General features: G+C 37.2%; 1 long non-coding RNA gene across 1 annotated transcript in view; it reads right to left on the bottom strand.

Moving 5' to 3' along the window:
• Window positions 1-4,157, bottom strand: part of LOC105374432 (uncharacterized) — a 59,764-nt gene extending 55,607 nt beyond the window's left edge. The window contains exons 1-2 of the long non-coding RNA XR_925265.1: window positions 4,110-4,157; window positions 3,174-3,282 (exon numbers count right to left, since the gene is read on the bottom strand). This is a non-coding gene — a long non-coding RNA (uncharacterized LOC105374432). The remainder of the gene's footprint in view (window positions 1-3,173; window positions 3,283-4,109) is intronic.
• Between the last annotated feature and the right edge of the window lie 13,494 nt (window positions 4,158-17,651).

Below are 17,651 nucleotides of genomic sequence, written 5' to 3' on the forward strand. Positions count from 1 at the left end.
CCACCCCTGCTCCTGGGATCTGATAAAATGTGACACAAGCTTACTGAATTACTTCCATATTCAAAGTCTGTTTTCCTATTGTTTTAAGCTCTTTGTCTACCAGAGCAAATGTTGCAAAAGCACTACTCATTTTTCTAGAGAATTATAAATCTAGAAGTATAAATTATAGGATATTAAAATATAATTTCTTAAGAATTGTGAACACAATTATTAATATGCTGAGGATAATTAAGCCATGGGCATGTGAGAGTAGTTATTGGATACAGGAATCATTCGTAATTTTTCTTTGCAGAGCTCATTTAATTTCTCCTTATACCCAAAAGCTAAAGCTTTGTGGGTCTAGGTGAGCACTGAGATACTCAGCAGAAACCTATTTTCAGGTAGAGAAATTTACCACTATCAAGACTTCCACATGTTTATTGTGTCAAGTACCTGTGGAGCATAGACAGACTACTGTACCTACAAAACACCTACTGCATAGGTAAAAATTCGTTGCTAACCTGGGTTATAAGATTAATGCTAATGTTAAGTCCAATTATGAATCACCGAATGGTGTGTGGGTAGATCGTGGATGGAGGCTTAAGAAGGAGGGAACCGTATTTTAATGGAGGGTTGTTTTCACAATAGTGAATACACAGATTTTGATGAGAAACTTTACAACTCCATGATTTACTGTCTGTGTGACCTGCACCAAGTCATTTAATCTCTCTGACACCACTTCCCTCATTAGTAAAATGCAGATTATAATCCCAGCCTTGCAGAGTTGTGAGAACTCATGATGAACTCATGTCCTTTGCAGCGACATGGATGAAACTGGAAATCATCATTCTCAGCAAGTTAACACAAGAAGAGAAAACCAAACACTGCATGTTCTCACTCATAAGTGGGAGTTGAACAATGAGAACACATGGACACAGGGAGGGGACCATCACACACCGGGGCGTGTCGAGGGGTAGGGGACTGGCGGAGGGATAGCATTAGGAGAAATACCTACTGTAAATGACAAGTTGATGGGTGCAGCAAATCAACATGGCACATGTATACCTATGTAACAAACCTGCACATTCTACACATGTACCCCAGAACGTAAAGTATAAAAATAATAAAAAAAACTTAGTACAGTGCTGTTAAATCCTTGAGATGGGTATTATTTTATGTTCAGTCAAGTTTTGCTGGCAACTATAATCTTCCTTCTCTAAGGGAAACAAGAGATGTTCAGGGGCAAGGAGGGATTTCTGTCCCTTGTAGTTATGATGGAAATGCTGATTGGATGGTAGTTAAGCCACCAAAGAATGATGACCCTCTGTTATATTGTATAAATCTTTAGACTATGTGGCATAAAGTCCTCACTTTCAGGAAGCAGAAAAACATAGATTCGAAGTTAGACTTATCCCACTCTCTCAGAATAGCAGCATCACTTTGACTCAACGAACCTAGAAAATGGCCGAGTCAGCCTCCGATTCAAAATTCAAATTTGTAATTTTGAAATTCCCTAATAAATTCTGAGATAATTCTCTGTATTTGTTTTTGACGGTTGTGTAACAAATTGCCACAAGCTTAGTGGCTTAAAACAATTTAAATTTAGCATCTCAGTTTCTGTGGGTTGGGAATCTGGGTGTTGCTTAGCTGATTCCTGTGCTCAGGGTCTTGTCTGGCTGCAATCAAGGTGTCAACTGGGGCTACGGTCTCATCTGAAGCTTGCGTGGGTACTCTTTTAAGTTCATGTGGTTGTTGGCAGAATTGAGTTTTATCTTGTTGTAGGACTGAGTCTCTCAGCTTCTAGAGGCCACTCCTTTCTAAAGCAGTTCACAGCATGGTTTATCCTTCGCCCTGGTGGCCAGCAGAATCCCACTGATACTTCACCTTCTTTAAAGGTCTCACCTGATTAAGTGAACCCCACACAGGATAATCTCTCTTTTGATTAACTCAAAGCTAACTCTCTCAATTAGAAAGCTTAATTATACCTGCAAAACTGCTATATTTTTGCCATGTAATTATGGTTGTCAGATAAAATGATACCCAGTTAAATGTGAATTTCAGGAAAACAACAAAGTGTGGTTTTCTTTTCTCTGAATACAGCACCTTGTCCTTCCAGCTTTCAATAAATAGACATGCTGCTTACCTTACGGTAATCTAAATTAAATGTAGATGTATTGTCTAGTAGACTTTGCCTATTTATCTGTTAATAAACACATTTAGTCAGGGCTCACCCCCTGTAGTTGCCATAAACCCTGCTTACTACTGTCTTATATTCAAACTTTATTGTTCATTTTTCCCTCTTCCTGACGCAGTAAGCATGTGAGTTGTGATCGCTTTTCCAGTTTATTACCCATATTTTGCTCTCTCTCTGTATAGATACAAGATGTGATTATCCATGTTGATATCAACAATCCTCAAAATCTTGAGCCCATTTCTTTCTTTCTTTGATTTTCTAGAGTGCTTTGCCAGTGCTCCAATTGCCGCCATTTGCTATGAATAAAGTTACCCATCTCTATACATGGTTGCAATGACTTTGTATCTTGCTAGGCTATGCATAGCTGTCAGTCATGAGATTTGGTTTTCTGGCCAGCATATGACCACAGCAGTCTAACCCAATCATTTTTATTTTATTCATTACTGTCTCCTGAGAACAGTCCAAACAGAATAACATTGATTTCCAAATTTTCAGCCTCAAAACCCATTCCCTTTATTTACCTATCTTCCTTCTTTTTCTTCTCTGAGTAAGGAAGATTATCTATCCTTGTCTCCAAGGCTAATCCTCTGCCTGAGCTCTCCTATTGCTCTAATATGGTTTGAGGATTAGAGAAAATGCTTCTCAAATCCTGCCTTTCAAATATCTGGCTGAAGTCTAAAATTCTACTGATGGAGCTTAATTGGTCTTAACTTCAGGTTTTGATCTGAAAATTCATATATTTCCCTGAGAGAAGCTCTTCATGGATTATGCTTTCACAATGTTCTTCTTCAAACCTCTACTTGGGCAATTACCACCTTGTCACATCCAGTTATCATGTACCTATTTATACATCTAACCTCAATCTTAGTCTGTAAGAAATTCTAAGATAAGGATATGGTTTTATTTGTGCTATAATTCTCAGTATAGGCTGCTTGATGTATACTTGCATTTAATGAGTGCTTGTGGGAGAAATAAATGCCAACTTATTCTAAGTACTTACCTGAGAACGCATTGTTTTTACATGTTTGCATTTTGGTTCAGAGCCCTCATGGTTGTATCCAGATGAACATCTGCATTGCTTACCATGCCTTAGTAGATCAGGAGAAATTCTGATTGGGAAACAACGATGTGCAATAATATTTTATTAAGTATTAATAATTTTAAATAATAAGAATTAGTAGCATTTGTTAATAACTTTTTATGAGCTAGGCTATGTAATAAATAAGAGGTTTGGAAACTACAGTGCAGGAGCCAAATCCAGCCCAGTAGCTGTTTTTGTACACTCGATAAGATATGATTTTCATATTTTTAAATAGTGGAAAAAAATAAAAAGAATAGTATTTTGCAACAAATATCCAAATTTCAGTGTCCATAAATAGAGTTTTGCATTTCTTCTATAAAATATTTGTGATTTTTTTCTCCCTGTTTTATATAAGTAGCTATACAATATCCTCAAGTTTGCCTCTTGTTTCAAAAACCTTAAAATATTTATTATCTAGCTCCTTAGAGAAAAAAATTTCTGACCCCTACTCCAAATGCTGGACATCTTTTTTGTCTTCATACATAATAATGCATAATCAATTGAGAAAACAACTGTCTCCACTCTCTCCATGTATCTGCAGAGACTTTCTCGAAAGTCACAGAGGTCAGTCTGGTGGCTTTTGTTTTTTGAATGTATACCAGATCTGGTGGCCTTGCCAGCTCCTCTTCTGGGCTCTTGCTCATGGCTTGGTAGTGGCTGGCTGGAAGGGAAAGTGCTGAGCTGGGAGGCTGTTACAGCTGCTTTTGCAGCTTCAGGTCCTTAATGCTGCAGTTTTACACCAGTGAGTCTCAGCACTTCTTAATTGTCAACTATAAAGTTCTGCAGCTGTCTCTGTCAAATTTGTCTAGATTCTCACAAAATTCCTGGGGAGGCTGAGATACATTTTTTACTTACCTCAATAACTGTTTCTTTTTAGCTAAAGGCAGGCACAGTGTTCTTGCTTTCCCTGCTTCCAGGAGCTTCTGTTCCTCTTCAAGGACATCATCACAGTTTGGGATTGACCACGGCTCCTCTCTCTTTGTGTTTAGCTATACAAATGGCAGCTTATTGAGAGCGGGATTTAAAAATCCCAAATCTCTCTGGAAGGGCTTGGGATCTTTGCAGACAAATCACATTTGTTAATGATGCCACAAGAATTACTCAAAATAAATATGTAGACTGAATACACGTGATGACTCTCGCTTTTTACTAGGGCTTGTGATGGTGATGACTTAGTAACTAATCCACTCAATGGATGATCTTTAATTAAAAAAATACTCAACTCTGTGAAAGGTTAATTTACAAAGATTACTAATTTTTCATTACTTCATCAACTGTACTATTTCAAAAATACTGATTAACCTTTTGGGGTCTCCAAAAAAAGTAGATTTGAAGATTTACATGTAAACAGCATATACTTTCAGATAGTTATTGATTGATAACCAATAGGCTCCTAGAAAACAAGAATACCACACAACTGTTGCTATAGTGTAATATTATCTGTGAAGATTTGCATTATTTGGGGTTTAGTCTTGGATATTTTCTGCTAAAATCCAGGTTTTATTTTCATCTACTAAGAGGAGGCATTGGTCATATTATTCCCTCCTAGAAAGGGAGATCCAGGTAAAACTTTGTTTAAGGTGTGATATCCTCAAGACAAGCTGCCTGCTCAGGATGAAAAGTGCCTTCCCACTTCTGACAGTGATTTCCTATAATGATTCTGGATAATGGTAGCCTGCCTCTCCCAAGACTGCTTCACAAAACCACTGGGTTTCCTGGAATGTCTGTAGTGATGGCATTTTTTCCTAATATAATTTTTCTCCTACAGATTTTAATTTAGTTACAGATTTATCCATTAAAATTGCAATTTGATATAGGAAGTGTTGCTAGGATACTTAATATTTTTTCAAGGAAAGCATCTCTAAGGCTTTTTTCCCTCTTTCAGTTTTTGATAACATGATCTCCTTAGAATTAGTTTCGTTCCACGTACAGTTTCTGGGTAGAGTGATCTTTCCTTTCCTTGTCCGCATATTACCTCCTGCATATTCCCTCTTGCTATTCCCATATGCTGTTCTCTCCTCCGTCATGAGTGCCACCTGCACTGACCCTCTCCCTGTCCTTGGACCAGCCTTTAAACACTCCTGAAAAACTGTCATGGTTTAATTTTTGGATGATACAACTTTGAGAAGTAAGACTTCACTTCTTTTTTATTTTAATTTTTAAATCATCAGGTAGGTTAAACATTATTATTATTTGACTAGTATCTACTATAGATTTTGGAATTATTAACATTTGTGTACTTCTGATGACTCTCTCATTATGTGATACGTATTTCAGACATTAACTTGCTTAATCCTTTGAACATCTGTTGTGAAGGAGGTACCATTGCTAACCCCCTCTTACATAGAACTGAGTAGAGCTTTTGTTCAATGTGATTTCTTATCTGACCCTAAAGTCTCTGTTCTCAATTACTACCATATACTATATACACTAAATGGCTCTAATAATTTTCTGGTGAAGGAACATAAAAGCTTTTCAAAATCCCTAGCATATTATATTTTTATCAAGAGAGATAAGGTACTCTCTCAAGGGCTCACTTAGGTTGGATTTCAATTTGTCTATACCAGTGTTGTTTCATCGTTCTGAAAGAGGATGGAAAAGTAAAATAAAAACTAAAGAGATCAGCGTTTTCTCTTCCTTTCATATCTCCAGGTGATCCCTGTGGTTGCCTACAGTTTTTTAAAGTGAGTCTATCCCCTATTTATGCCTGCTCCTATTAGATGAAGTAAGAACTTTGAGATTCATTGTTTTCCTAAAACTCACTGACCTCTCCTCCCACACTTTTGCTTCTGGCTCTAATATTGCTTTCCTATAATTTTCCTTGTTTAAATATTTATTAAGCACTTTGACTAATAAAATACTATTGCAGAGCCATTTTGGAGCTGTGCTATGCAAGTGTTAAAGTCAACTCCCATGCCTTGAGGGAAGTGTGGCATGAACAGAGTTTTTGACAGAATCATCAAAATCAAGTTCTGGCCCTCTTGCCAACAGCAACGTGGTTAAGAGTTTACTTTTAGTGAGTACTTACTATGTGCCAGGCACTATTTCAACCTCTTTGTGTATATTTCATTATTCAGTACTCACAACAATCCAACATTATTATTATTGCTATGTTACAGATCCTGAACCTGAGACTCAGAGAGGTAACTAACCTACCCAAATTTACACAGATAACAAGTTATGGGCAAAGCTCTATGAGTTTTACCAATTCATTTTATATCCCTAGATTTCGTTTTTTCATTGGTAAAATTGATGGACTTCAGTAAATAATTTCTAAGGCCCCTTCCATTTCTTAAGTTAATTGATGTCTTCCCCTAGCAGCCTTATTTTAATATTCTATTTTTTAAGACAGGAAAGTCACATAAGTTTTATCTCTATCTATTTACAAATCCATTTTCTTCCTCTGGCTTTTCCTCTTCTGAGACTTGTTAGCACTAAAGAGTATAACTTTATTCTCATGGTTACTAACACAATCCTGACACCAGTTGAGTCCTTGAGTAAAATCAATATTTTTATTTCCTTTCTTCAACCTCCAACACAAAGTATAGCATCTGGCCCATGGTAGGTACTCATGAAATGTTGAACAATATGAAATATTGAAATGAAATGAGAACATGAAATTTTGAACAATACATATATTTTTGTGTTTATGTATATATTATATTGTATCTTGTTTTGCTCATTGAACTATGAATTCACTGAGGACTTTATGCTGACAGTTGAGTTGGAAATAGGGCAATGATTAGATCTAATTTGCCAAAACTTAATTTTGAACTATCAAACCACAGCCCATTTTCATCTTGAATCTGAGCGCCAAAAAGGAACACTATGCAGTAATTTCTCTGCATTTCAGCATTTTGTATATCCAGAGCATTTTGGGAATCTTGCTGCCTTTATGCACGTTTGCAGATGGAGACATTAATCTCTTCCAAGCACATTACCAGAGAATTTTCCAAATTCCGGATATTTTATAATTTGTCGCAAGGTTTACTGGGAGGAGGGAATGAACATGTAATGAAAGTGAAAAGTTTAAGGTGCTAATCATCAAATTCCTTATATTCCTTAATTTTTAAATATGAATACAATATTTGAAATCCCAGTTTAAAAGGTGGTACCAAGAAGAACTAACATGAATCAAAAGAGTTTATTTTCCTTAGAAAAAGAGTAATTCTTTTACATAAATAATTAATATTCAATGGAGTTGTCATACATAATTTTATCTTTCCATTTTTTTCTCCCTGTTTTGGTGTCATTCACTGCCAATAAGAATTGTTAATTTTAAAGTTGTGCTTGTTCAGCATTTTTCCCCAGCTGCCTAGTTTTTAATGAACTAAAGAATTTTACAATAAAATTCATATTTGACATTATTAAGCCTTCATTTCTCATAAATCCTGCTTGCTTTCTGTTTGCCTGTTCCATACATTCACAGATTAGAATATTAATGAATAAGCACGAAACTTCAAGTGCAATTTCTCTTTGCAATTTAAAAAGTGACATTTTTTCAGATAATGAAAATGAATTCAATGTATTCAAATGAATACACAGAAGTTTCGTTCCTCATCTCTTTGTTGACAGGTTTCTAATGCTTATTCTTAACTCTTCACTGGATGTGACCTAATCAATCCACTACGATATGAGGATCTTAACTGGTTTCTTTTGTTTTCTTATTATATGTTAATATGAATTTTACTAAGGATTGGTAATTAATCCTGCAACTTCCTCTTGGGGGAGTCATTCTTGAAATCCAGGGGTTATCAAAAATGTAACTAGCTAATGAGAGACAGGGCATCAATTTTTTTTCAGCTATTCACTCCAAAGCAATGAAATATAATGGCATTGAAAAGACATTTCGTGGTAGTTTGTATTTCTGTGGGATCGGTGGTGATATCCCCTTTATCATTTTTTATTGTGTCTATTTGATGCTTCTCTCTTTTTTTCTTTATTAGTCTTGCTAGCGGTCTATCAATTTTGTTGATCAGAGAATACTACAAACACCTCTATGCAAATAAACTAGAAAATCTAGAAGAAATGGATACATTCCTCGACACATACACTCTCCCAAGACTAAACCAGGAAGAAGTTGAATCTCTGAATAGACCAATAACAGGCTCTGAAATTGTGGCAATAATCAATAGTTTACCAACAAAAAAGAGTCCAGGACCAGATGGATTCACAGCCGAATTCTACCAGAGGTACAAGGAGGAACTGGTACCATTCCTTCTGAAACTATTCCAATCAATAGAAAAAGAGGGAATCCTCCCTAACTCATTTTATGAGGCCAGCATCATCCTGATACCAAAGCCGGGCAGAGACACAACCAAAAAAGAGAATTTTAGACCAATATCCTTGATGAACATTGATGCAAAAATCCTCAATAAAATACTGGCAAACCGAATCCAGCAGCACATCAAAAAGCTTATCCACCATGATCAAGTGGGCTTCATCCCTGGGATGCAAGGCTGGTTCAATATACGCAAATCAATAAATGTAATCCAGCATATAAACAGAGCCAAAGACAAAAACCACATGATTATCTCAATAGATGCAGAAAAAGCCTTTGACAAAATTCAACAACCCTTCATGCTAAAAACTCTCAATAAATTAGGTATTGATGGGACGTATTTCAAAATAATAAGAGCTATCTATGACAAACCCACAGCCAATATCATACTGAATGGGCAAAAACTGGAAGCATTCCCTTTGAAAACTGGCACAAGACAGGGATGCCCTCTCTCACCGCTCCTATTCAACATAGTGTTGGAAGTTCTGGCCAGGGCAATCAGGCAGGAGAAGGAAATAAAGGGTATTCAATTAGGAAAAGAGGAAGTCAAATTGTCCCTGTTTGCAGACGACATGATTGTTTATCTAGAAAACCCCATCGTCTCAGCCCAAAATCTCCTTAAGCTGATAAGCAACTTCAGCAAAGTCTCAGGATACAAAATCAATGTACAAAAATCACAAGCATTCTTATACACCAACAACAGACAAACAGAGAGCCAAATCATGAGTGAACTCCCATTCACAATTGCTTCAAAGAGAATAAAATACCTAGGAATCCAACTTACAAGGGATGTGAAGGACCTCTTCAAGGAGAACTACAAACCACTGCTCAAGGAAATAAAAGACGACACAAACAAATGGAAGAACATTCCATGCTCATGGGTAGGAAGAATCAATATCGTGAAAATGGCCATACTGACCAAGGTAATTTACAGATTCAATGCCATCCCCATCAAGCTACCAATGACTTTCTTCACAGAATTGGAAAAAACTACTTTAAAGTTCATATGGAACCAAAAAAGAGCCCGCATCGCCAAGTCAATCCTAAGCCAAAAGAACAAAGCTGGAGGCATCACACTACCTGACTTCAAACTATACTACAAGGCTACAGTAACCAAAACAGCATGGTACTGGTACCAAAACAGAGATATAGATCAATGGAACAGAACAGAGCCCTCAGAAATAATGCCGCATATCTACAACTATCTGATCTTTGACAAACCTGAGAAAAACAAGCAATGGGGAAAGGATTCCCTATTTAATAAATGGTGCTGGGAAAACTGGCTAGCCATATGTAGAAAGCTGAAACTGGATCCCTTCCTTATACCTTATACAAAAATCAATTCAAGATGGATTAAAGATTTAAACGTTAGACCTAAAACCATAAAAACCCTAGAAGAAAACCTAGGCATTACCATTCAGGACATAGGCGTGGGCAAGGACTTCATGTCCAAAACACCAAAAGCAATGGCAACAAAAGCCAAAATTGACAAATGGGATCTAATTAAACTAAAGAGCTTCTGCACAGCAAAAGAAACTACCATCAGAGTGAACAGGCAACCTACAACATGGGAGAAAATTTTCGCAACCTACTCATCTGACAAAGGGCTAATATCCAGAATCTACAATGAACTCAAACAAATTTACAAGAAAAAAACAAACAACCCCATCAAAAAGTGGGCAAAGGACATGAACAGACACTTCTCAAAAGAAGACATTTATGCAGCCAAAAAACACATGAAAAAATGCTCATCATCACTGGCCATCAGAGAAATGCAAATCAAAACCACTATGAGATATCATCTCACACCAGTTAGAATGGCAATCATTAAAAAGTCAGGAAACAACAGGTGCTGGAGAGGATGTGGAGAAATAGGAACACTTTCACACTGTTGGTGGGACTGTAAACTAGTTCAACCATTGTGGAAGTCAGTGTGGCGATTCCTCAGGGATCTAGAAGTAGAAATACCATTTGACCCAGCCATCCCAATACTGGGTATATACCCAAATGACTATAAATCATGCTGCTATAAAGACACATGCACACGTATGTTTATTGCGGCATTATTCACAATAGCAAAGACTTGGAACCAACCCAAATGTCCAACAATGATAGACTGGATTAAGAAAATGTGGCACATGTACACCATGGAATACTATGCAGCCATAAAAAATGATGAGTTAATGTCCTCTGTAGGGACATGGATGAAATTGGAAACCATCATTCTCAGTAAACTATCGCAAGAACAAAAAACCAAACACCGCATATTCTCACTCATAGGTGGGAATTGAACAATGAGACCACATGGACACAGGAAGGGGAATATCACACTCTGGGGACTGTGGTGGGGTCGGGGGAGGGGGGAGGGATAGCATTGGGAGATATACCTAATGCTAGATGACACGTTAGTGGGTGCAGCGCACCAGCATGGCACATGTATACATATGTAACTAACCTGCACAATGTGCACATGTACCCTAAAACTTAAAGTATAATTAAAAAAAAAACATTAAAAAAATAAATAAATAAATAAATATTGGCAATAATTTAAATTAAAACTATAACATTCCAAAGTAAGAAGCTGACCTATGTTTTGGAATTAAATTGTGCATTGGCTACAAAAAAAAAAAAAAAAAAAAAAGAAAAGACATTTCGTAGAGTTCTTAAGAAAGAATGTGAAAGTAGAAGGAAGGAAGGAAGGATTGATTGACAGTGGAAGATAAAAGATTTCCTGAGCATAGAGCCTCTGAGCACAGAGCCTGGAAAAGTGACTGCTTTTGCTCCCTGTTTAGTTTGCTAGGAATATAGAGTGGCAATAAAGAACCTCATGAAATACTGTAGCACAATGCTTCTAGTGCAATGGGTTGGATTTTTCACCTCTTAAACATAGATAATCTCAAAAGGAAATAGATGAGTTGGTGAACATTGTTATGGTTATTTGCCTATTGCTACCTTAGAATTACTTTATTTTTAGCTGATTTTTTTACACTTCTGTGTTTTTCTACTTATAGGCTTATGATTCTTTATGAATCAATATGCAAATCTTAATGCCAGAGATATAAAGGATGACCTTTTTTGTATAGATTTATAGACATTATTAAGGGGCCTTACAGATCATCTAGTGCAGACTTTTTACTCCATAAACTTAAAAAAAGATACACAGCAAGTTAAAATATCTGTATGATGTCATAGATTAACATGATCATTTGTATATAGAAATGAATACCAGATGGTACCCCGATTGTTATATATGACATTTGGATTCATGAAAACCAACATACATGTACTTTCAGTTATAAATGTTCTCATAAGCAAAGGGAAGTTAAAGGAGTTAAAGAGAGGAAGAGTGAAGCATATAGAAGAAGATACGTCTTCTTGAGCAACTTCTGGGCTGATAAGTCAATGTATGTATTCCGTTCAGAGTTAGTGGGGACCCTATATGGGTTGATAAGTCAGGGGACTGAAGTTCTGAGGAAATAATTATCTTGCAAATCTTATAAAACAAGGATTTAAATTTGGGTCTGTCTCAGGTGAGAGTCTATTTTATTTATTTGCTGAATAAAATCTTTAGAGCTTAAAACATAGATCATAATATTTTTTATTTGTACACAGCTTTTATATTTTCACACAATGCTTATTTATCCACCAGTCATTTGTTTGGACCATATTTATTGGTAATTTACTACTGGTGGTTTCTATACTATGTGTGGAGCTTAGGTAAAGACCTTCTGTTCCCAGAACTTACCATCTGGTACTGTTACTCAAGCACAGCAATGTCTCATAAGAGAGGTATAAGTATGACAATAATTTAAACGTGGGAATAATCACTTTTTGTTCATAAACCTCACAGGTTTTCATGAAAGAGATGGCCTTCATTTTTTTCTCTCCTGATTGAGCTTCGTTGGAGAAATTATGCTCCATGTGAGAAGATGGCAGGAGCCAATGAACAGGGAGGAGTTTGGAAGCAATCATGGAAGGTGATTTGAGGAGTACAGTATAACCAAAGTGTTCCTACTGTGAAAAAGTCATCTACAAAACAATTCTGAATAGATAAATTGAAACCATATTCCAGGGGCCTTCTGAGGCCACAGCAAGAAGTAGAGGTGGCCGTGGGAAAGCTGTTAAGTAGTGGTATCACATAATCAGAATTTGTTTAAAACCTTTCTTTAATACTTACCAGTTGTGCAATGCTGATCAACTCGCGTGGTGAGTTCAGTACTTGGTATTGGGTCCAAAATCTATCTCAGGTTTGGAATGAGGGAAAAAGATTATGATATTCTTTGGGGGACAATTGCTTCTTGCCTCCTAATCTTTTCTGTTTCATTGCTCCTGATTGCACAGGTTGGGCAGTACCATTAATGCCTCTCTATCTATTTTGCTTTAATGAAAACTTTGCTCTATTAACTACCTCCATGATTCTCAGAGGGTCAGGCCCTGCAGATGGTCTCTGCCATCTTGTTACTACTTTTGACTTTCTCTTTTTTTTGAGACAGTGTCTTGCTTTGTTGCCCAGGATGGAGTGCAGTGGCGTGATCATGGCTCACTGTAGCCTTGAACTCCCAGGCTCAGGCCATCTTCCTACCTCAGTTTCCTAAGTCGCTGGGACTATGGTTGCACACCACCACACTTGGCTAATTTTTTCTTTTTTTTCCTTTTTTTTTGGAGAGGCAAGTTCTTGCTATCTAAAACTCATTTTGATAATTGAACTCATTTTAGTTCTGAGAAGTAAGATGCCACCTACCCTGTCTTGTTTGGGGGATCTTTTAGGTTTTTTATTACTAGTAGAACATTTGGGTAAGGGATCTTCCACCATGAGCCTTGGCCCACACCACTGAATGTGGTGATCTTTGTGACTCTCTCACTAGCACGTTCCTTATTGCTTGTGTAAATGGTGTATCATCTAGGTTCTCCTGTTGAATATTGTTCTCTGGTGACTTTTGTAGTCTTTTATAGTATACCCACTTTAACATGCCCACTTTTTCAAGCTTTTTCTTTCTTTAGCCTATTACCCTGCCATAACAATTCTAGTTTTTCATTTAATTTAGTGTGGTACAGTGACTTTTCCACACTTAGAAAAGCCATCTTTTGGCATGCCTGTACCATCCCTGAACAACTTACCAAGGTATCGACTCTTATATCTTAGGAGAGTGCTCCCATATCAATAGGGAGTCATACTTTGCTTAATGACAGGAATACATTCTGCGAAATGTGTTGTCAAGCAATTTCACTGTTGTGCAGACATCATAGGGTGTACTTACACAAACCTCAATTGTATAGCCTACCACACATCTAGGCTATATAATGTAGCCTGGTGCTGCCAGGCTACAAATGTGTACAGCATGTAACTGTATCAAATACCACAGGCAATTGTAAAACAATGGTAGGAGTTTGGGTATGTAAACATAGAAAAAGTATAGTAAAAATTTGGCTTTGTAATCTTATAAGACCACTGTCACATGTGCAGTCTGTAGTTGACCAAAACGTCATTATGTGGTTAATGACTGCACCTTCTTTTATGCAAGTGTATATCTGACACTCGTTGATCCAGCACCCTAAGAATCTAGTTTATGTGTACTTTCCCATTTATTATTGAATTATGTTGGCTAGGTTCAGTAGTTCCCTTTAGATATAGTCTCTTTCCTTTATTTGCAGGCACGGTTTCTCCAACTGGGTTATATTTTGACTTAACATTAGTGATTGGCTTAGTGGCAAAAAGGGTAGGTAGTGGGGAGCAGATGCTGAGTGGAGGTGCATTTTATCTTGTAGGAAATAGGCCTCTGAATTATCTTCAATCAATGGTGTGTGTGTGTGGCGGGGGGGTTGGTATCTCTTAATAAGGAGGAATAAGCTGCTTTTGCAAGCTCATATGGTTCGCGGGAATCCAGGGTTTCAAGATTTTCAGGTGAGTCCACATTAATGTTCTTATCCCATGTGTCAGGGTCCCATTTTTTTTCTTAATTATTACGTGACCTTGGCATAACAGACCTGTTTTGTTGGAATTGTTGTTTTCTCTAGTGCTTGCGGATGCTTACTCTCACATTCCTGTGCCTCATCATCTTTCTCTGACAACCCACTGCAGGAGATAAGAATCCCTTTGGTTTTTACAGTTGGTTCTGAATCACCTACTAATAACTATCAATGTTTTATTATCTTCTCACCAGAGCATAAAGTAGGCTTAGTAATAGTCACCCAATGCCATTGTCCTTAGAGTTATCATTTCCCCAATATTCCTCAAACTCTTGACACATTGTGCCAGCCACTGTATGTCCTTTCATTCTCGTACCATCCCAATTCATCATCAAACAAAGTTTTAACAGCTGCCCTGCTACTATGCTCCAGGGACATTCAATACTCTACCTACCACAATTTATAGGGCTCCAAAATCTCATTTTAGTTTCTTGGGTCACTCCTGGTATCAGCGGTCACAGGTTTGGTTCCTTTGGAGGCATTCACTAACAGGAAGGCTAGAGGGCATAAAGCTGGGTTGGACATAAAGAGATGTTGAGTTGTGACGTGGCCCCAACAAAGGCCTCAGGTCACCCTATGGGAGACTCTGGAGTTCTGGAGCTGAAATGGCCCATGTTGGGCTAATGAAACTAGGCCTTCCCACCCTTCTATTGATCAACATTGAACATGCACAGCCCCAGAAAGAAAGCATGACCTTGGGCATAATAATTTTCTTCAGCTGAGGCAATCCTTAAAGAGGGTTGACAGCTGAGGTGTGTCTTCTGGCAGTACTCCCAGAACCTAGGGGGAAGATTCTTCTGATGATATTTCTGATAAGATATCTGGCAGTATATCATGGCATCTACCACAGTCCTTGTCTCTACTTCTTTCGTGTAGCTCAGAAATCACCCCACTGCTTTCTGACTTTCCTAATCCCTACTTCACGAAGACAACCCTAACAGAGGTCACTGATGCCTTCCTTATGGCTGTTTGGGCTGAAAAACACTGTGCCTGAATTGTGTCCTTGGTTCAACTCATACAGATGCTCTTCTGTCTTCTAGGTAGGAAGAAGTGTGAGTGAGGGGAAAAAAGCCTGACTCCATGTAGACCCTCTAATCTAGGTGATTTCCTCAGAACACATTATGGATAATTTGGTCTTAGACTTGCCGTAACTTATTGCAGTCTTTTGTATATACGCCTATTTCCCATTAAAGAGTAAAAATCTTGAAGATCGATTCATATTTGCATTTCTCGAATAGATTAAAATTCCAAGGACATATCATGCTAGTTTCCTTCTCCCTTCCCTTTCATCGTAATGGTGGCCCACGGGGAGAACCTCAAGATGTGACAACAGTGAAAATGCTGTAATCCAAACAGCATCAGTTGTCTGAACTAGGATGTGACAGTGGAAAGAGAAAAAGAGGCACATAATAAAGATTCCACAGAATTGATTTGACCAGATTTTATAATGGGTTTTCTGTGAAGGTTTAGGGAAGCTTAGTAAGACAAATATTGCTGTTGCGAAGGATACTGAAGATATGGGAAGACTGGTTCGGGAGCAAAAGGAAATAATGAGTTCACTTTTGGCAATTTGACTTGAAGATATTTGAGGGCTAATGATAGAAAATATCCAGAAATCTCCTAGACATGCGAGACTGAGCATTGAGAGGTGGCAATAATGGGACAAGAAACATAAATCCAGAAGTTATCTAGGTAATGCTTCTAATGGAAATCACTGGAATGAGTTGCATAACCTAGCCTGTAGAGAATACAGAGAAGACAATCGTGCATTGAATCTTGGGTAACACATGTATTTGAGGATGTAGGAAGAAGAGACCAAGATACCAAGAAGGCAAGAAGGAAAGGATGAAGAGGTGAGACTAAAACACATGTAGTGTAGTATCAGAGATGCTATTAATAAGGGACATTTCAGGAGGGATGAGGTGTTTGATACAGTTAGCAATGTTTCAGGGACACAAAAGAGGGTGAATAAAGGAACAATGAACTTAGCAATTATTTATCATAATTCTATTAACAAACATTTTTGAGTGTCTACTTTGTTCTAGATATTGTGATAGACATCTAGAGATACAGCAATAAGCAAGGTTGATACAACTTCCGTCCCTAGGGAAATGAAAACATCTTTGAGAAGGCAGTTTTATTAAAGGGATGGAAGCTAAAAGGACATAGTCTCACAAACATAGTCTCACAGACAACTCTTTCAACTAGATGGCACAGGTATCTTTCTCAGCTTCTTTCAATTTAAATTCTACTACTTCCTTTCTATTTACATATGATATCAGATAATACTTACTTATTCTACAAATGAAGAAACAGCACCGTGAAATAAGGGTCATGTCAAAAGCATGAAGTGAGTTAGTGACAAAGCTAGAAAGAAATTCTGATTCTATCGTTTCTGTTGTATTTTCACTATGCATGTCTGAATATTTATCAGACTTTAGGGTAATTACTTATCACTTAGAAATAGAGGTTTAATACCTCTTCTCAGGATATCATTATTGTTTTCTCATTTTGATTACAAGCAAGACATTAGACAGTAATATCCACTAACTGTGCTAGGCATTGAGATTGACAGATGAGCAAAGCAACACCGTCCCTACATTCATAGACCATACAGAGAAGTATGGGAGAAACAACAAACGTAAATAACTTTGCAAATAGAAAAGAAATTCTGAGAAGATCTATGAAGGAATCCTGCAGAGGATCGATTAACACAAGCAAAAGAAAAATACACTAATGAGCTATTTTTTTTAACATATTACATCTCAATGAGTGCATTCTGAATATAATTTATTCATGCACGACTGACTCAGGTTCATCTTTATCAACAACACCCAGTACACGTGGTCATATGCACTGAGGACTCACAAGGCAAGTGAGGCATGGAGGTTGTTTTTTATCTTCCATTAATAACTCCAATCTTGTGGATTTTTATTGTTTTCTTTTCCAAAGCTGTCTCTATTCATTGTCTTATTTTATTTTATAAAGGAGACAAACACAAATAAATGAAGTAAGTGGCTTACTCAAATTATCAAGTACCTTAGTTTTTATGCTAATTAGATTCTAGTTCTATGTTTTTCTGCCCCGTTTTCACTACCCAGGTCTAATTATTTATTAAATATAATTGATATTTATTGGATAGCACCTTC

Source organism: Homo sapiens, chromosome 4 (genome assembly GCF_000001405.40).
Source record: "Homo sapiens chromosome 4, GRCh38.p14 Primary Assembly".
Classification (NCBI taxonomy): Eukaryota; Metazoa; Chordata; class Mammalia; order Primates; family Hominidae; genus Homo; species Homo sapiens.